Here is a 20,965-nt window from a genome sequence, read left to right as displayed (position 1 = left end):
GTCTATTAATAAATGTAATTTAAAGTATTTTCACCTAATGAAGACAGTATAGGAGAAATCACCTCTATCCTCGACTATAGTCACTTCCTCCTGTCAGTGTAACAACTTACGCTACATATCCCTTCCACTTAAGTGGTAATTTTTTTTTTTTTTTTTTTTTTGAGATGGAGTCTCGCTCTGTCGCCAGGCTGGACTGCAGTGGCGCGATCTCGGCTCACTGCAACCTCCAACTCCCTGGTTCAAGAGATTATCCTGCCTTAGCCTCCCGAGTAGCTGGGATTACAGGCACGCGCCACCACGCCCAGCTAATTTTTGTATTTTTAGTAGAGACAGGATTTCACCATATTGGCCAGGATGGTCTCGATCTCCTGACTTCGTGATCCACCAACCTCAGCCTCCCAAAGTGAAGAGATAGCTTATAATAACCATTCCCTCTTTATTCAGCTCTCTTCATCAGGGGGAGCATGTACTTGTTTTTATCTCCTAGAACAAGTGGTTTGTTACTAAATCTTCAGCAGCTCCACTACTCCCTGCCCTTCATTGGTTTGGAAGGTACATTCTGTCTCTCTCTCTTTCTCTCTCTCGCTCTCTCATGCACACACACAAAGCTTTCAAGTAAAATAACTCAAGGCATTGTCTTTTTTGTTAAATTACTATATTTATTGTCATCTTTTTAGAAATCAGTGCTACACATATTCTTCATTTATATTTTTTATGCATCATTTATCTATTGCTGCATACTTAACTACCCCTAGACTTGGTGGCTTAACACAAGAACCATTTATTCACTCTCAATTCTGCAATTTGTTCTAGACTCAGCTGGGTAGTTCTGTTTGTCTCACCTGGTGGTCATTCATGCAGCTTAGTCATCTGTCAGCTCAGCTGAGGCTAGCTGGTTCAACATGGCCTCACTCACGTGTCTGGAGCATCACCTGGAAGAGTTGAGCAGGCTGTGCCCCTCTCTCCATGTGATCTTTCATCCTGGGCTTCTTTACAATGTGATGGTCTCAGGTTCCAAGAGGGCAAAACTGGAAGCTGCAAGGTCTCTTAAGGCCTTATTCAAATGTCATACAATGTCTACCACATTTTATTGGTCAAAGCAAGTCTTAATACCTGCCCAGATTCAACTGGGAAAGTAGACTCCACCTCTGGATGAGAAGAGTGGCCAGGAATTGGGGGCAATTTTTAATCTAACACATTTCCTTGGATGTGCTTTCAACTTTAATGTTCTAACTAGACTTGTTATATTTTCTCCTTGAAATGCAGTGAATTGGCTCTTTCTTTAGGGATTACTATAGTATGTGTATCTCAGAGTTCGTAGTTTCCTGGGTAATATTCCTAAAAGAAAAGGAAATTTTGCTTTGTGAGAGATACCCACCCTGTCCCACTTTGGTCTTGGAGCTGTCATGTTGTTTTGGTTGTTTCTTGTATTAAAAGGTATATTCAGTGTGCCATGAATCCAGCTGGGTACAGTGGCACTTGCCTGTGGTCCCTACTACGTGGGAGACTGAGGCAGGAAAATCGCTTGAGCCCAGGAGTTTGAGGCTACAGTGAACTATGATCGTGCCACTGCACTCCAGCCTAGGTGACAGAGTGGGACTGTGTCTCTAAAAAAAAGTATATGTGTATATGTATATATAATATGCCATGAATCCATGATGTTTCCTTTGTGCTTTTTATCTTCTATAAATCCTCTCCCTTTACCTTCTCTTTCCAGAATATTAATCTAACTTTTCAATAAAACCAGAAGAAAAGTCTGTTGCTCTTGCTTCCCAATAGCTAGTTTGATCCTGAGAGCTGGATAAGTTCATTGACATCTTCAATACCAGAGCTTAAAAGGATGTAGAAAGATGATTAGTCTAGCATGGTGGGGTAGCTTTCCCTCCTACCATGCTTATTCCCTCCTACCATTATTCAAGGTTTCATTATTTTCAGGATCATAAATGTCAAACTACTGGGCCATGAGACTTGCATTCACTTACTTAGCTGCATCCTCTCCCTACTTGCCACATCTTTTTGGAACCCTGTAATCAGTCCCCACAAGAGCTGACCCTGTGTGTTCCTGTGTTTTTCAAGTTTCACTAGCCACAAAGGGGAACTGAATATGAACATGCATGCAAACCTCACCAGTTCCCTTTGCAGCCAGCTGAAAGTTATTTTTCATGTAGAGGAAACAGTGTTTTTCTTTTGAGAACAAACTGAATTTCCACACAAATATGAAGTGTTTCATCTTCTGACAGTTCAGAGGACCCAAGAGAAGAGGGCACCAAATTGTGAGAAAGGCCATTAAAAGAGAAACTAGGAAAACAAAGAGACAAACTGAATTGGGGAAGAGAGAGGTGCTGCTGAGTACAGGAAAGGAAAAAAGCAGACCACGGGGAGGGGTGCCGGGGTGCTAGAAAGTCTCAATAAGTAATGGCACACAGGACAAGGCAGGAAATGTAGGAAGGAACTGTCTGCAAAGGGCCTATAATAGCTATGCCAGCAGTATTAATGGAAGGCATTAAGAACTTTTGGTTTAGAAATTTGCTGTTGGACAAAATTTCAAAATATACCACATTTACGTGATTACTGGGCCTGCCTGAGTTCATGCTATGGAGCCAGGTTTAGATGAAGGTGCCTTGTCCTCACTTCAGAATGCAATATGGTGACCTGTTTGGTGTCTCTGATTAGACGGAGAAAAACCAAGAATCAGATATGTATTAACATCTCTTCTAATTTTTTTTTTTTAGAAGATCTCTGTCACCCAGGCTTGAGTGCAGTAACATGATCGTAGTTCACTGTAGCCTCAAACTCCTGGGCTCAAGTGATCCTCCCACCTCAGTCTCCTGAGTAGCTGGGACTACAGGCACATGCCACCATGCCCAGTTAATTTTTTAATATTTTGTAGAGACTGCTTCGCTATGTTGCCCAGGCTGGTCTGGAACTCCTGAGCTCAAGCAATCCTCCCACCTCAGCCTCCCAGAATGCTGGGATTACAGGCATGAGCCACTGTGCCTGGCCCAACATTTCTTCTAATGGCATCCTGCCAGGTGCCCTCACACTCTCCTCCTTACTTGCTCAAGTTTCAGAGTATGGTTCTGATTAGCATAAAATACAATGGATCTGTTACCTCTCCTGTCCTGGACATTGCTATTATTAGTGAAAGCTGAGGCTGAATAAAATAACTCTTTCTGAGTTACTTCCCCCACCTCCCTTGATCCAGATCAACTTCCACTATGTATCTTCCTAGTTCTGATGTTTACCCTCAGCTTCTAGCCATTCCATTTTATGTATTTTCTCTGCCTTTCCCTTGGCATTTGGGTATTTAGATACCATATATTGCATGTTTCTACTTGGCCAGGTACATTTATTTACTCATTGAGTCCTCCTAACAACCCTATGAGTTAGGTACTACTATAATTCCTGTTTTCTTAGTAGAGGAAATAGAGCTTACCCAATGTTACATTGTAAGTGATGGCAGCAGAAATAACTCAGGCAGTCTGACTGCATCATTCACCCTTTTAACCAGTCTTTTATGCTGCCTCTCAGTTTGTTATTTAATAATGCTTAATATTATTGGGATAAGAAAACCTATTGGATTCAGCCTTACCATAATTCTTGCCATGGCCTTAATGATGGGACCATAATAATCCGTATACATTGGCCAAGATCAATCCCCTGGACTGTGTTGGATGGGCAATACCAACATTTTTCTAGCACTTTTTTTCTTCTAATTTTCCCTCATCTCCTAGTGAACAGCCAATTCTTTCTGTAGATATGCTAATGCATTTAATCAGGTCATCTCCTGGTCTAAGAGACTTTCTGTCTCTGAAGTTGTTTTACATATTTGTACTCAGGTATTTGGATTTTGTAGTTGAACTCTTAGAAAACATTTCTATTTTCATGTTCTCAAGGAACACCTGATTTCGACTCCTCTATACTATTTATAACTGAAATACCAAGCTATCTAATTATAAGATAATTTCATCTGCAAGTTCTTTAGCTTGGTCCTTGAGGAATGCATAAGTGCCAGTGTTTATTTCAATTTATTGATTAGAAAAATTTTTAGCTTTGCTTCTAGTGTCTGACAAAAGAAACCATAAGCAAAGTAAAAGACAAGTGCATAGTGTTAGAAGTTATTTGCAAACTATATAAATAACAAAGGATTTAGAACCCAGAATATATAAAGAACTACTTCAACAATTTTTTAAAAAGAAAAAGGAAAAAAAAAGATAAGCAACTCATTAGGGGAAAAGGGAGGGGGAGGGGTATAGATATGAATAGGCCATTCACCCAAGAAGAAAACTGAATGAGCAAAAAGTATATGAAATGATGCTTCATTTCACTAGTAATCAGGGAAGTGCAAATTAAAACCACAATGAGATACCATTTCATACCTACCAGATTGGCAAAAATTAGTAAATCTGATAAAACCAAGTGTTGGTAAGGTTGTGGGTAAACAGGAACTCATTTCTGCCTTGTAGTGAGATGGGCATATAAATTGGTAAAATCACTTTGGAAAGCAATTTGTCAAAACTGAGATAAGCTGAAAATGTACATACCCTTACAACCAAGCATTTCTGCTTTTAGGTGTTAGCCATAAACTTCACACATGGGCATTGGGTATACAAAAGAATTCACTTGAGCATGGTTTCAATTAGTGGAAAAAGTGGAAACCACCAAATTGCCCATTGTTAGGGGAAATGGAGAAATGAACCATTGTTTATTCATGCAGTAAAACACTACATCAGTGAAAATGAATGAACAAGACCTACATGAGTCTACATAGATAAACAAAATTTGAGTGAAAAGAGTTACAAAGAATGTAATAGTAAGATACCATTTGTGTAAATTTTTAAAAGAAAAAGTGCATATTGTTATGCATATGTATGTTGTAAAAGCACAAAAATATACGTCAGAGTGATATACACCAACTTCAGGAAAGAGGTTTCCTCAGGGAAGGATGTGAAGTGAGCTTTAATATATCTAACATTTTGGATGATGTATACGGGTATGAAAAAACTTTTAAGTAAAACGAAAATGTTAACATCTTTTCAATTGGGGTGATGGGTACTTAGCTGCCTGTTATGTTGTGTTTTTCCATTTTTGTATGTTTGAAACGTTTTATAACTAAAAACTATTTATATGTGAAATTACCAAAAAAGAATATAAGTGTAACAGTTAACTGTTGCTCCCAAAAAACTTGCATGACTTATTAAAGCAAAAAGAGATTCCATGTATCATCAACACCTGTATCCAAACCATAATTAGAAGGCCTTTCCATCTTCTGATGGTTCTTTATGCATTTCATGGGCCAGAAGCAAAACTAATAAGGGTAGGATGCTCTAATTTGATTCCATTTTTTTTCTTCTATTCAACCTGTATGAGTTTGTTCTGGATTATCGTACATGTTTCAGAGAGAGCTTCCAGAGTATATAAATGTGTGATGGTTAGAAGACTAGTTTTAAAGATTGTTTTTTGTTTTTGTTTTTGTTTTTGTTTTGAGACAGAGTCTCACTCTTTCATCAGGCTGGAGTGCAGTGGTGCAATCTCAGCTCACTGCAACCTCCACCTGCCAGGTTCAAGCGATTCTCCTGCCTCAGCCTCCCGAGTAGCTGGGACTACAGGTGCGTGCCACCACACCCAGCTAATTTTTGTATTTTTAGTAGAGACGGGGTTTCACCATGTTGGCCAGGATGGTGTCGATCTCTTGACCTCGTGATCTGCCCGCCTTGGCCTCCCAAAGTGCTGGAATTACAGGCGTGAGCCACCACGCCTGGCAAAGATTTTGTTTCTTTGGCATCACACAATTATGATGAGTGGTAAGCAGAAATTTTTGCCCCCAATACATATTAATGGCAATTTATGTTTTTTTATTTTATTGTAATTTATTTATTTATTTATGTTTTTGAGACGAAGTTTTGCTCTTGTTGCCCAGGCTGGAGTACAATGACACAATCTCAGCTCACCACAACCTCCGCCTCCCGGGTTCAAGCGATTCTCCTGCCTCAGCCTCCCGAGTAGCTGGGATTACAGGCATGCGCCACCACGCCTGGCTAATTTTGTATTTTTAGTAGAGACGGGGTTTCTCCATGTTGGTCAGGCTCGTCTTGAACTCCTGACCTCAGGTGATCCACCCACCTTGGCCTCCCAAAGTGCTGGGATTACAGGCGTGAGCCACCGTGCCCGGCAAAGATTTTGTTTTTTTTGACATCATACAATTTTGATGAGTGGTAAGCAGAAATTTTTACCCCCAATACATATTAATGGCAATTTATGTTTTTTAAAATAAAAGACATCTCAGCAATCACCATTGTGCTTGGACAGAACTAAACAAAAGTGAAAAGCATTAGCAGAGACAATGTCAGTAGAATGGAAGTCTACCAACTTGCATCCCTACATATGTAAAATACAGTTGCTGCTTACATCACAATGCCATGAAGATTAACTGATGATAATGCATGGGAAGCACCTAGAACAGTGAAGGGCACATAAATAAACAAATGTTACTTTGCTTCCCATTCCCTTGCATGTGAACTTGAAGTGGGGAAATAAAAGGAAAAATAGAAGTTTCGAACAAACTTACTACCTCCTTTCCAGTTCTGTGCTCACTGTTACCATCCCCAACCAGCTCTCCAAGTCTTCATCTGAAAACATGGACTGACTGAGGCACTATGGCAGCCACTCAGCTGGGCCATGTAGCTATGACAGAGGACACTACATCATCCAACATGGGAATGCCGCATAGTTTATCTCTCGTCTGAGTTGACATAATTCAGATTATATTCCGAGTTTCAAATCTTTTCTTCCGATTAAAAATACCCCTACAAGCCTCTTTACAAGTGAAGTTTGTTTGTTGGTGGCTGAAATAAAAGGCTCTCCAGTAAATGTCATATCTGTTGTGAATATTTTTCCTGCTTTGTACTTTTGCTTCAGTTTTTATGGTTTGGGACAAAGAATCTAAATTTTTAAGTCAAATCTATGAATTTTTCCCTATAGTTATTTCTATTATTTTGTTTGAAAGTTCTTTCCCATCTACAGATGAACTAGTCATTTTTTAATCTTTTATGGTCTCATTATTTACACTTAATTCTTGAGTGTCCTTATAAATTTTGGGGTATGATAAAAGGTAAGGCTGTAAATTGGCCTTTTATTTTAAATAGGCACAGCACTATTATTTATTAATCCATCCCTTCCTTCCTGATGCTTTTTGTGATGTTTCCTATATATGCAGTGATTTTCTCTGAGGGAGGAGAATGTATGGGGGTCACCTGAGCTTTGCAAAAACACACTTAACCCCACCTTTGCAAGATTCCAGCACATCTTGACTAACAGGAACCTTTTTTTTTTTTTTTTTTTTTTTTGAGACGGAGTCTCACTCTGTCGCCCAGGTTGGAGTGCAGTGGTGCAATCTCAGTGGGGCATGGTGGCTCAATGCCTGTAATCCCAGCACTTTGGAAGGCAAAGGCGGGCGGATCACCTGAGGTCAGGAGTTCCAGACCAGCCTGGCCAACATGGCAAAACCCTGTCTCCACTAAAAATACAAAAATTAGCCAGGCATGGTGGCACGCACCTGTAATCCCAGCTACTCCAAAGGCTGAGGCAGAAGAATTGCTTGAACCCAGGAGGCAGAGGTTGCAGTGAGCCAAGATTGCACCACTGCACTCCAGCCTGGGTGACAGAGTGAGACCCTGTCTCAAAAAAAAAAAAAAAAAAGTCATATACGTATTTTGTACTTTTCTCATATATCATCTAGGATCTGCTTAGACATGTGTATTCAGTTCCACAGATAAGTTTATCCTTGTGTCTGCTCCCCAGTGTTATCCTTACTGAAGGATAAGAATATATTTTAATATCTGATAAAGTATTATATTTTGAAAACCTAAAAAATAATTAGCCCATTAACATGTTGCTGCAGCATCCAGGTTGCTTGTTGGGAGAACTCTCTTCATATTGCTTTTCTTTTGTGGGATAACTTTCAGTAAGTCTTTCGTTCAAATAGTTATATTACCTCTACTTTTATGTCAGCAGGAATAAAGAATCCATTTTTTAAAGTTGAAAATAAAACTGTACTGGAAGAGGATTGTCTTTTTCTACTGACCTAATCTTAGAAATTCAACCACCATCAAACCTGGCTCTATACAGCATACTTTTCTAAAACTAACAGCAATATTCAACACTGAGGTCTCACTCTGACAGCCAGACAATTCATTTTGCCCATATTTGGTTTTGCATGTATGAGATGTTATTTAGAAAGCTGTTCTGAAGGTCTTTGCAAGGTAAAGATACGTATATACTTCTGAATTTCCTTTTCCTGTATGCTTCTAGAACTAAACCTTGGGTTAGGAGAGGTAGGAACTGTTTCCTGCTTGCAAATACTAATGCTTAGTAAGAAATGAAAGATTATATGTCATAAGTAGCCTTAACTTTGGTAAGACAGTAGCATATTTTTTCTAAAAATTTAGAAACCTTCTCAGGATTCAAGTTACTCTAAGGCATGTTATCAGATTTCTCTCAGTAAGCAATCTGTTATAAATAGACAGATTGATTTATATCAAAATGTATTTTATTCCAAATAATATAGCAATAATTAATTGAGTATACTTTAAAATTTTCTTAAGAATGCCATTGTGCAGAGCTTTATAGTAATCATCTAGTATAATGAGACAGCTTCTAGAACTATGAGTGTATTTATATTCATTTTAATGTCCCTTAAAAGTGATAATAATTGATAATATAATTTCACCAAACTGTATACAATGAGATATGTAAGATGTTTACCAGTAATGTAAAATAAATTTTTAAGTTTGAGGACATGAAGGAAAATAGAAGTTTTCATAACTTAAAACCATACAAACAGAAATGCTAAATTTCATTTAGATGGTATGTGTTAACATTGTCAGGGCAAAGTAATTAATATAATTTTGTCACCTTTTTCTGACCCTCTAATTTTTCTGCAAATTTCAGTATTTATCCTCAAATATTACTTATTTTTAAAATATACTTTTGCTTTGACTTATTCTTTATTCAGTTAATTATATTTGCGGGCACTTATTGAAATATAGTTAACTGGCCGGGCGCGGTGGCTCATGCCTGTAATCCCAGCACTTTGGGAGGCCAAGGTGGGTGGATCACTTGAGGTCAGGAGTTCGAGACCAGCCTGGCCAACATGGTGAAATCCCGTCTCTACTAAAAATACAAAACAGCCGGTCATGGTGGCGGGCGCCTGTAATCCTAGCTACCCGGGAGGCTGAAGCAGGAGAATCACTTGAACCCGGGAGACAGAGGTTGCAGTGAGCTAAGATCACGCCACTGTACTCCAACCTGGGCAACAGAGTGAGACTCCATCTCAAAAAATATATCTATATATAGTTAACTGAGCACTGTATACAAGCCAAATCTCATTAAAATAAACTCAGTTCTGATCAAAATCTTCATGGTCATTCACATTGATTTCTCAGCCAATGGCCTACCTTAAGTTTTAAGAAGTATTCTGACTCTAAAAAAATTTTATACACCATGATAGAAACTTTCAGATGAGTCCTTGGAGTTTGTCCTAAGATGCTTTTACATAAATTCAGTCAATAACATTCAGGTTCTGTGTATGACCAAAGAACTGGACAAATGCTGGCCAAACTTTCAAGAATGTTTGCCTAATGACACCCCCTAGATTGCAACTGTATGGTGTTCTATACAGCTATATTCAAATGGACTAGGAAAAAAGCTAATTACTCCCAACTTTTTTTCTTGTAAGCACCCCTTCCTTCCCTTTCTCCCTATCTTATTCATCCGTCCATTCTTCTTAATTATTCAATAAATGTGTATTGATCTCCTATAGCCAAGAAACATACTAAGCTCCAGGGAGGCAATGACGAACAAGACTAAGACCGCTTTCTTTTAGAGCTTGCTGTCCTGTTATTTTTTAATGTACATGAAAATTGCAGAGTTTGCTCCTTTTAATTCTAATTTGCAGGTTTTTATTGTTGTAAAGTATTTCAAATACCCAGGAGTTTACCAAAAATAATATAATCACGTGCCTACTACCTAGATTTAAGACATTAACATTTTGCCATATTTGCTTCAAATTTCTCCAGATATAACCATTAAGTTGGTATGTATCTTGTATATATTATCATACATGTTTTGTATCTTTATTTTATATGTATTGATCCATAAGAATGTGGTATTGTTTTCTACCAGGCGCGGTGGCTCATGCCTGTAATCCCAGCACTTTGGGAGGCTGAGGCAGGTGGATCACCCTGAGGTCAGGAGTTCGAGACCAGCCTGGCCAACATATGAAACCCCGTCTCTACTAAAAATCCAAAAAGTAGCCGGGCGTGGTGGCATGCGCCTGTAATCCCAGCTACTCGGGAGGCTGAGACAGGAGAATCACTTGAACGTGGGAGGTGGAGGTTGCAGTGAGCCAAGATCAGGCCACTGCACTCCAGCCTGGGCAATAAGAGTGAAACTCTGTCTCAAAAAAAAAAAAGAATGTGGTATTGTTTTATGTTTTTATATTTTACATAAATGATTTCATGCAGTACATACCCTTTTGCAATTTTGTGGGGTTTTTTTTACTCAACATTATATTTGAGATATACCCATGTTGATGCATGTGAGTGTAGTTCATTTCATTGCATCGCTACATGATATTCCATTTCGTGAGTAAACCAGTTCACTTCTCCATGCCTTTGCTGTTATGTCCTTATTTCCAGTTGTTTCGTATTATGAATGTTAGTTCACTGAGCATCATTACATGTTTCTTGTGTACGTATTTGAATGATTCTGTAAGATGTATACCTTGTAGATGACTTGCTGGATCACAGAATATGCATGTTCAATGTTACTTTATCAAACTGTGGCTGAAATGACCCTATTGTTTATAAACCTGTTTTAAGTAAGGTGTGGTTTTAAGACCTATTGCTAGGCTATTGAATCGTTAGCTTATCTGTTAATTTTTACTATACAGTATTTAAATTCTTTCCCTTTTTATCTAAGCAGTGATAGATAGTGGGTGATCTCATTTTTTAATTAGGATTTTATTAATTATCTTTTCATCTGTTATAGAGATTTAGGCATAAATGAATACAGTGGCAAATTATACAAGATTTTAAAATGATAAATGAACATATATTTTCTGACACATTGTCAGTTCCCAAATCATTTACTTTTAAACACACTTCAAATTAGTATCAAGTGCTTGATTTTAATAACTACTTTAGTCACTTGAGAAACTATGGCACTTTAATTATTTTGCTGTTAGAGCCATAAATTTCACTTAACTTCATAATCTATGTTAAGAGTATTAGCTTAAAAATGTATTTTGAAAAGATTTTACATACAGATTTAAAAGTTAGTACCTTGAAATGGTTTACAGTTAAGCAAATGAAATATCACAAATACAAGCAGAGCTTTGAGATCTGAGTTTTGTAAATGCTAGAACTTTGTTTCCTAATTTTTTAGTTCTTCAAAGAATTAAGAGGCTGCATTATATAATTCATTTTAGTATGTTTACCTCAAGTACTTTTAGAACTAGACTGTATTTTCACTGCCACAGATGTATCATGCAGGGAGTATCCTGGTTTAAATTCTGAAGTGCTTTCACTCCTACTTGGTTCACCTTGAAATCGTCTAAAAAGAAGTTGGCACATTATTTTGCGAATGTTACTGGACATCAGGAAATACATGACTGGATCTAAGCAACTATTGAAAGATGAGAGAACCAGCATGATCTCATTGGTTTTGTGAACAATTTCTTTCCAGTAGCAAGATGATACATTTAGCTGTGAAGAAATGTAGATGAATCGAAAGGCATGATAGGGAACAAAACATATAGTAAAAATGATAAGTACAATAAAGGAGTTACGAGCTGTAGTGGCATATTTACCAGAATTAGGAAATTTTGACCTCCTTTTAGAAATCCTCAATAGATTCTTCCCAATCTTAATATATGAAAGGATTATTAGTAAGAAAATTAGCCAGAACATTACCACAAGAATGAAGTTAAAAATGGCTTCTCCTTTTGCGTTATGCTTATCTCTGTAATGGAAACACATTGTGGAATTATGCCCTCCTTTCTTAAGTGTTAAAATAATCATAGTTAGGAATCCACCAAGAGCAAGCATCCATACTATACAACAGACATAAATACTTTGTTTGGTTGTTATTGCCTTCCGTTGCTGTATAGACCGATTAATTTTTATATAGCGATCCAAACTGATGAATCCAAGCAAAATAATGCTAATGTACATGTTCATATAAAACAGTGTTCCCACAACCTTGCACAGAATCACACCTAGTGTCCACTTGTTTTGGTTAATATGATACATTATTCGGAAAGGGAGGCAGAAGATGAGTAGGAGGTCTGCAATGGCTACGTTAAGTAGATAAATTTGAATGGAATTTCTTTTACGGTGAATACCCAGAAATACATAGAGGGCGATTATGTTCCCAACCAGTCCCACGATGAAAATAACAGAGTAGGATGTGGTTAACACAGTAGATAGCAATTTTTCATCCATGGGACAGGTAGTAACATTTGGTGTTGCTGAGAAGTTTTGTGGCGGTTGGTCGCTATGATTGGTTATAAAGCGCATTCTGTGGGAGGAGTAAGGCCAGCTGCTGACTGAAGTTGTCGTCATTGTTATGGTATGACTTCTCATTGTCTTCTGTGGAGATCAAAAAGTGAAAGTGCTAAATGACATATTCCTCATGTGTAGTTCTTATGTCTTCAGATTTTTCCTACAACGGAATGCCAAACATTGAGTCATTTGCTATTTTAATAACAGTTACTTTAACTAAAAGTGTAAATAATAGGCTGGGCTTCCCAGCACACGCCTATGGTCCTAGCTACTCGGGAGGCTACAGCAGAAGGATTGCTTGAACCCAGGAGTTCAAGGCTGTAGTGAGCTATAATTGAGCCACTGCACTCCAGCCTGGGCAACAGAACAAGACCCCATCTCTTTAAAAAAAAAAAAAAAAAAAAGACAGTGTAAATAATAAATGATTTATTTTCAGACATTGCGAGAAACTTTACTTTTATCCTACTGTATGTAGTAACATTATTGTATCATTAAACAAGCAGCACATAGTGTGGTATCTCATGGAGTTTCATGCTCTAACCTTTCCTGTGGCCATGGCCTACATTGAAGTTCTGTTTCATGTATTATATTAAAATAACTCAATTTATGAGATCATCTTCTCTTAGGGAAGTTCTTATGGGAATACAGATGGTGGTGAAGAGAAATGACAGCTCATATTTCTCAAAGATGAGCATCAGTTTCTCTAAAGGTATGTACAGCCATAAGAGAGCTGGGCCCACTGCTGGCCCTGCCCAGCTTCAGAACCACTTCCTGCCTTGACTTTTTCCCTCATATGTGGCATTCATTCATTTTGACATGTATTGCTACATGGCGTGTGACTTGTGGTGGTCTCATTCTATAAGTGGGAATAAAGAAGAGGATCCTAAATTTCTTTTCAGCCTAAGACCAAGGTAGGGGTCTTAGGGCATGCAATTAACATAATAGACTAAGAGAATACAGCACCTGCAAGGTTACACAGACTCTTGTATCACTGGACAGGAGAAAAAAGTAACCAAACAAAACCAAGTTAGCTGGCAGCTGCCAGTTAGCCACTCCTAACCTAGAAGCATAGAGTAATAACGTAGATGGGAAACAGCATGTGCAATCCAAGATTTTGAAAGTAACCTGACCAAAGCTTAAATGTGCCCTGGGTTCAATAATTTGAGACTTGCTAGAACCTTCGAAGAGATAGTGTTTGAATTCTACTTGTTTGTGGCAGCAGAGAATATTTGCAAAGCTACTTATTATTGGCCCATTGACTGCTGTAAAGAGCTTAGTCTGAGAGCTGGTCATAACAAGTAAAGAAAGCATTTCTGGAGGTCTCATCACATTCCTCTCATAGAGTGACTGCCCTATTTCTCTACAGCAGCCACTTAGCAGGGTTAACATAAAGATGCCCAGAGCAAGGTTCTCAAAATCAGACCCAACTAACTTGTGACCAAGGGCAAATAACTTAATCTTTTCTATGCCTTAGTTTTCTCATTTGTGAAAATGAAAAATGCATAAGAAGAACTTAATCCTGGCACATAGTGACTGCTTAATAAAAGTTAGCTTTAATAAACACCTTTTGATTAATCTCATTTTAGTAAATATCTCACACTTGGCTAAGTACTGTGTGGGAAAGGAAGGTGAATAAGACAGAGACCCTATTAGTAAACATTTTGGAGGAGTGGACATTCAAACCCTGACTGCTACCATGCAAAGTGGATTTGAATTACATAAATTAAGTCCCTGATTTGATCTTATACACAGAGAAAAATAGCCTTTCTTAAAGCTCTACACATAATTTGATTAAAAACAAAGCATTTTGGTAGAGGGTAACATTAAGATTTAAAATGTTGTAAAGTTGGGGAGCATTGATTCCACAGAAGAGGAACTGGCTGGTGAAGAGGAAGTTATGTAATCCCTGGTAAGAGCCTGTTTCCAGAATTCAGGAAAGTGGAGGGAGAAAGGAAGGGAGCGGGGAAGGACTGAGTCTAGTCTGTCATGTGTCTCAACTGCAGGAAGACAAATTTCAGAAAGTTTATAGAAAGGTATAGGCATGTTTCTTGTGATCTAAGATTCTGGTTTTTGTTTGTTTGTTTGTTTTGTTTTGTTTTTGAGACAGAGTTTTGCTCTTGTCACCCAGGCTAGAGTGCAATGGCGTGATCTCGGCTCACTGCAACCTCCGCCCCCTGGCTTCAAGCGATTCTCCTGCCTCAGCCTCCCGAGTAGCTGGGATTACAGGCGCCCGCCACCATGCCCGGCTAATTTTTGTATTTTTAGTAGAGATGGGGTTTCACCACGTTGGCCAGGCTGGTCTCGAACTCCTGACCTCAGGTGATCTGCCCACTTCGGCCTCCCAAAGTGCTGGAATTACAGGTGTGAGCCACTATGCCCAACCTGTGATCTAAGATTCTAAAAGGAAAGGGCAATCTAGAAAGAATGTCAGGCTACCAAAAATGAAACTGATAATGCAACCTGCATTACCAGGAAAAGGAAAAGGGTGTCTGTAGAGGAACCACCTATATTGTGTGGTTATGTAGGGAGCTCTCATAGGTTCAGGGAATTGAGGCACAAGAAGTAATGTGATTTTGAGAGCTCAAGTAGCTGAAATGACGTGAAAAACTCACCTGTGAGTAGTTATTTTGGATTTTTTTTCTTCTCTCATGTTAGAATTTAAGTTCCATTAGGATTAAGAACCAAGTCAATTTTGTTCGGCTCTCTGTACCTAATGCTTAGCATAATAAATATTATTAAATCAAAGAGGGAATTTAGTAGAAATGTATATGAAGTTCTACATGTGGATATTAAAAGCAGCTGTACAAGTACAGGAAGAGCTTTAGCTGCATTAACAAACACAATTGCAATTGCTCTATCACTAGCGTAGTGTGGTGGCAACGAAAAACCCATCTTTAGTTGAATTCCTAGATACGTGATGTCTGAAATGAAAATTGTTACTACTATGCTGCTTCTGTCCCAGGCTGGTAGGGTCTCACCTGGAATGCAGTGTTTGATCCACAGCAGCACACTTAGAAAAGGCCATGGACCAAATGGAGAGAAGAACTCAAATCATGTCAAAGAAGCAAGTTGAAGGAAATAGGCACGTTACCCTGGAGATGAGAATGCTTTACAAAGCCATAGAGAAAAGGGTTTCACTTTGTTATATGTGTCTTCACAAAGCAAAACAAGAACCAATGATAGAAATTGCAGAGACAGATGTTGCCTCCTTTTAAGGAAATCATTTTTTTCTAATGAAATGATCTCTCTTGGGAGGCAATATAAGGATCTTACCACTGGAGATTTTTGAGACTACCACCAATTGGGTTCTTTGTAGAAGGGATTATCAGTGGTTCTCAATCCTGGCTGCATATTAGAATCCTCTTGAGGGTTTTTTAAAGATACCAGTGCTTGGCTCCTTCCCCAGATATTCTGATTTAATTGGTCTGGAATGGGTTTCAGGCACTGGTTTCCTTTAAAAGCTCCTTAGGGGATTTTAATGTGCAGTCAGAATTGAACTCTTAAGCTAGATGGCCAAACCATTAACTAATATTTATTTAGTACTTTCTGTGTACCAGACACTGTGTTAAACACATTTATATTACTTCCTTTACATAATTCTTGCAATACTCTGTGAGGTAGGTATCACAAAAGAGGTAATGAAAGATCAAAAGGTTGGCCAGGTACAGTGGCTCACGCCTGTAATCCCAACACTTTGGGAGACTGAGGCTGGAGAATCACTTGAGACCAGGAGTTCAAGACCAGCCTGCCAGCCAAGGCAACATAGCATGAACCTGTCTCTAAAATAAAAAAAGGAAGAAAGAAAGAAAGTTCAAGAGGTTATGATCTTTACTCTTGGCCACACAACTCTTTTTTTTTTTTTTTTTTTTTTTTTGAGACAGAGTCTCACTCTGTCACCCAGGCTGGAGTGCAATGGCATGGTCTCAGCTCACTGCAACCTCCGCCTCCCGAGTTCAAGCAGTTCTCCTGCCTCAGCCTCCCAAGTAGCTGGGACCACATCCAGCTAATTTTTGTATTTTTAGTAGAGACGGAGTTTCACTATGTTGGCCAGGCTGGTCTTGAACTCCTGACCTCATTTTCCGCCCGCCTCTGCCTCCTAAAGTGCTGGGGTTACAGGCGTGAGCCACCGCACCCGGCAGGCCACACAACTCTTAAATGACAGTGCCCAAGTTAGGACTCAGATCTGACTTTTAGAGCCCATGATGCTTTTCACCAAATCTCACTCCTTATCACATAGGGTCAGCATTTTCTTTATTAATATTGAGTTCTATCAGCAGTATTTTGACATGATTCCTTTAACATACACTTTAACAATTTTAAGAACAGGTTATGCCATCTAGCTTTACTTCTTTGGAAAGGGTATTAATCTTATTTGCTATGTCCATTATTATAAGGAAGTAAATCCAGAGTTTACAGAATCACAAATCATTCATCAGAATGATTGCCACTACCCACAGAGCATATCTTTTTAAACTTCTAGACCCGATAGCCATAATCAAGATGTCTCCAGAAAGCTGTTAGCACAAAGCACATATCCTGAAACCATTTGCCTCAGCTCTAATCTGCAAATAAAATAAGTAATAGTTGGACAAATCTGTCAGTAAGCATTTCTGGTTTTGCTTTAGTCTTCAGTTTAAAGAGCATAAAGCAAAGCCAGTGCATTTGTTTATGTTATAATAGTGGCCATCATTTAGAACTATGTATTAGACAGCTAGCATACAATTATTGATTCACAAATTGACAGCTGAGCGCCATGGTTCATGCCTGTGATCCCAGCACTTTGGGAGGCTGAAGTGGGAGGATCACTTGAGTTCAGGAGTTCTAGACCAGCCTGGGCAAGATGGTGAAACCCTGTCTCTACAAAAAGTATAAAAATTAGCGGGTATGGTGACGTGCGCCTATAGTCCCAGCTACTCGAGAGGCTAAGGTGGGAGGATCGCTTGAGCCTGGGAAGCAGAGGTTGCAGTGATCCTAGATCACTCCACTGTACTCCAGCCTGGGTGACGGAGTAAGACCTTGTCTCAAAAAAAAAGAACATAAAAAAAAAAAAAATTGGCCGGGAGCAGTGGTTCATGCCTGTAATCCCAGCACTTTGGGAGGCCGAGGCAGGCAAATCACTGGAGTCCAGGAATTCGAGACCAGCCTGGCCAACATAGCGAAACCCTGCCTCTACTAAAAAATACCAAAAAAAAAAAAAAAAATTAGCAGGGCGTGGTGGCACGCACCTGTAGTCCCAGCTACTCCGGAGGCTGAGGCTGGAGAATTGCTTGAACCCGGGAGACAGAGGCTGCAGTGAGCTGTGTTCATGCCACTGTACTCTAGCCTGGGCAACAGAGCGAGAGTCTGTCTCAAAAAAAAATTTTTTTTTTAATTAAAAATCACAATTACATTCTGTTTTAAACTTGGTGACTGTTTTTTTTTCTCCTTTGAAGTTGGTTAGTACATTACAATGTCATTCACTATATAAGGCTATTTACTGATATTTTTTAAACTACCTGTTTGATATGTTAAGAATTGCTTGTGAAGACAAGAAACAAACCACTGTGTTTACATAGGGGATTAATTTCCCAGTGGGCATTACTTGTGACCCATGTGCTATATTGAAGTGGTCACAATAGTTTTGTAATAGTAGATAGTGTTTTTTAAATGTTGTTACTTGGCAAATCCTATTCACAAGTTCAAAAACCTAGTATTAGTGCATTGTACCCCCGCACCACCACCTACTCCTGCAGTTTTTTTTCAACTGGCTCATGTAGGAGTACTGGACCCAGAGGGCAGGACCCAACAGATTCCACTGTGACTCCAGATGAGCAGAAGCTTTTAAAATGCAGTTTGGGTATGTTTGTGAAAATATCACATTGCTATGTTGAAATACATACCTATTTGGTAATAGTCGCAACCTTTCACCGTTTTTAGTTTGACTTGATAATGACTGAATCTATTCAGGGCATGCTTCAAAATTGCATTAACTGCTGTATAAAAAATGAAAATTGAAAACATATTACTTTGGAAATAATACTATTAATAGTGTGTTAGGTTTTGTTACAAATTTAACTGTGTCCCTAGAAACACATTTTAAAAAATTATTATTTGAACTAAAGCATATTTTGCTTTCTCTCTTATCTAATATTCACCTTATTTACTTCTGAAACACCAAACTTAAATGTTATATGGTCTGGTAATACTATAAAATAGTAATAATATAATAAAGAAAAGACAGTAATTTAAAATAGGGAGACAGCATAACTTAAAGTCAATAAGTTATAATTTATAATACATTAGAAATAAAATGTATTGCATATGAAAATAACTTTTAATTCATGCAAGTAGATCTGCAAAATCTTGATGGCAGTATCCAAATGCAGTATCAACAATGTGACTATATTGACAGTAGGAGCTTAAATACCTTGAATGTCTTAAAGTACTTAAAGTAACTAAAAAGACAGTCTCATTTGAAATCAAGGCAGAGGTGTCATTCAAGCAATTTACTCAGTAGTTCTAAAAGCGAATAACTGCTGACATTAGAGTAGCCTTATCACCATGAATCACGTTTCACTTTGAATGTTCAGATAATCAAATTTTAGCTGAAATAAAGGTTCATTTATGTAGCCGAAATCAAGAAATACTCACAGTTCAGGTTCGCCTGAAGTAAAAGGAGCAGAACCCCAAGCTTCCCTAGACACTGAGACTCGTCTTGGTTGTGTCAGCTGGGCTCTTCCATCCGGTCGTGGTGCAATTGGTTGGGGTTCTCTTCTTTTTTATGTTCATATGTGGTGGTAGGGTTTTTTTTTTCCCCCTCTTTTTTTTTTTCTTTTTTCGGTATGACAACTCTCAGATTCCTTTTGAAAATATTAAAAAGCCCTACTACCATGGAACAACTTTAAGCTCAACCAACACTGAACTTTAGGAAATTATTTATATCTTCTTTATGAATACCTTCCAACTTGACAATTGTGGAATGTTTTCCTCCCCCCGCTCAAAATTTAAAAGTTTTATAAATTCTAAGCAGAAATATGTATTTTCTGTGTTTTGTAAGAAATGATACATAATATGCTATATGGACTTTCAAAGCACAAGCACTGAATTTCTGTTTCTTAAGTTTTCATCTGTACATTATTTTAGCATATTTTCATGTATTCCTTTAAGACCTTTGCTAAAACAAACTTGTATTATTAGGACTAGATGAGATTTCTGATGGTGTTCTCCCCTTTTGATCACTATGATAAACTCTCCCGAGCAAATTAAAACATCACCTGTATTTTAAGCGAAATAATGATGGGATTCTGCAGTCTTGGTTTTGATCCTAGTCCAAAATTTAACCACTATCTGTCCATCTATGTAACTGCTGGCCCTGCAGTTTAGTGTTATTTCCCTTTTTTTGTTGTCATTTGAAATGAAGAAGTTAGTTTTTATTCTCCCCATAATTGTTATCCTGCAGCTTGTTTGCACTAAATATTTGACTCATTGGGCTGTATCTAACATTCTAATTATTTCTGGGTACACTCTTCTGAACATTATATTCTCCAGAGCTTTTTGTTTGTTATAAATATGATTTATGGGACAGGATATTTTTAAATTAATAGAATAAAAATGTTTTGTAGCTCTTACTTCCCCTTAGAACCTCTGAGAAGGAAGGTGGTTGCTGTATTAGTCCTGCAATATTGTTGTATTGGCAGGATTTTATTTTATTGTGGTACAATATGTAACATTAAATTTACCATCTTAACTTTTTTTTTTTTTTTTTTTTTTGAGACGGAGTTTCGCTCTTGTTGCCCAGGCGACAAGAGATTGTACAATGGCACAATCTCGGCTCACTGCAGCCTCCACCTCCCAGGTTCAAGCGATTCTCCTGCCTCAGCCTCCCAAGTAGCTGGGATTACAGACATGCACCACCATGCCCGGCTAATTTTGTATTTTTAATAGAGACAGGGTTTTGCCATGTTGGCCAGGCTAGTTTCAAACTCCTGACCTCAGGTGGTCCACCCACCTCAGCCTCCCAAAGTGCTGGGATTACAGGTGTGAGCCATTGCGCCCAGCCCCATCTTAACCATTTTTAAGTATACAATTCAATAGTGTTAAGTATATTCACATTGTTGTGCAACAGTTTCTAGAAGTTTTTCATCGTGCAAAACTAAAACTCTTCACCACTAAACGATTTCTCTCCTCTCCCCCTGCCCTTGACAATCATGATTCTTTATGTTTCATTGATTTGGACTACTTTGGACACTTCATATGAGTGGAATCACACAGTATTTGTCCTTTTGTGACATGTTTATTTCACTTGGTGTCATATCCTCGAGGTTCATCTGCGTTGCAGCATGTTACAGGATTTCCTTCTTTTATCAAACTGCATTATATTCCACTGTATATGCACCACATTTTCCCTATGCATTCATCTGTTG

At 38.3% G+C, this 20,965-nt stretch overlaps 2 protein-coding genes across 14 annotated transcripts in view, besides 1 other annotated feature; one reads left to right on the top strand and one right to left on the bottom strand.

The window, feature by feature from the left end:
• Window positions 1-20,965, top strand: part of CASK (calcium/calmodulin dependent serine protein kinase) — a 408,621-nt gene that overhangs the window by 215,277 nt on the left and 172,379 nt on the right. The gene's annotated exons all lie outside the window — the stretch shown is intronic.
• Window positions 914-963: an enhancer, noted in NCBI's record as "active region_29561". NCBI's record gives its function as "activates an Ori minimal core promoter by ATAC-STARR-seq in GM12878 lymphoblastoid cells {active_cell/tissue: GM12878}" and the evidence as "EXISTENCE:reporter gene assay evidence [ECO:0000049][PMID:35858748]".
• GPR34 (G protein-coupled receptor 34) lies at window positions 11,003-19,305 on the bottom strand. Of its 3 annotated transcripts, none has more exons than NM_001097579.2 (3): window positions 19,194-19,305; window positions 18,443-18,535; window positions 11,003-12,723 (listed from the first exon to the last, which is right to left on the bottom strand). In NM_001097579.2, exon 3 carries the CDS (start codon window positions 12,642-12,644, stop codon window positions 11,499-11,501), a length of 1,146 nt encoding a protein of 381 aa, NP_001091048.1. In that variant the 5' UTR covers window positions 12,645-12,723; window positions 18,443-18,535; window positions 19,194-19,305; the 3' UTR covers window positions 11,003-11,498. The 3 variants fall into 3 exon arrangements, with proteins under 3 accessions (NP_001091048.1, XP_005272654.1, NP_005291.1); XM_005272597.5 differs by having other exon boundaries at window positions 18,443-18,532; NM_005300.4 differs by having other exon boundaries at window positions 11,003-12,650; window positions 18,443-18,532.

This window comes from Homo sapiens, chromosome X (assembly GCF_000001405.40).
Source record: "Homo sapiens chromosome X, GRCh38.p14 Primary Assembly".
Lineage (NCBI taxonomy): Eukaryota > Metazoa > Chordata > Mammalia > Primates > Hominidae > Homo > Homo sapiens.
Note: the sequence above shows the minus strand (reverse complement) of the source record. Positions and strands in the feature narration are given on the sequence as shown.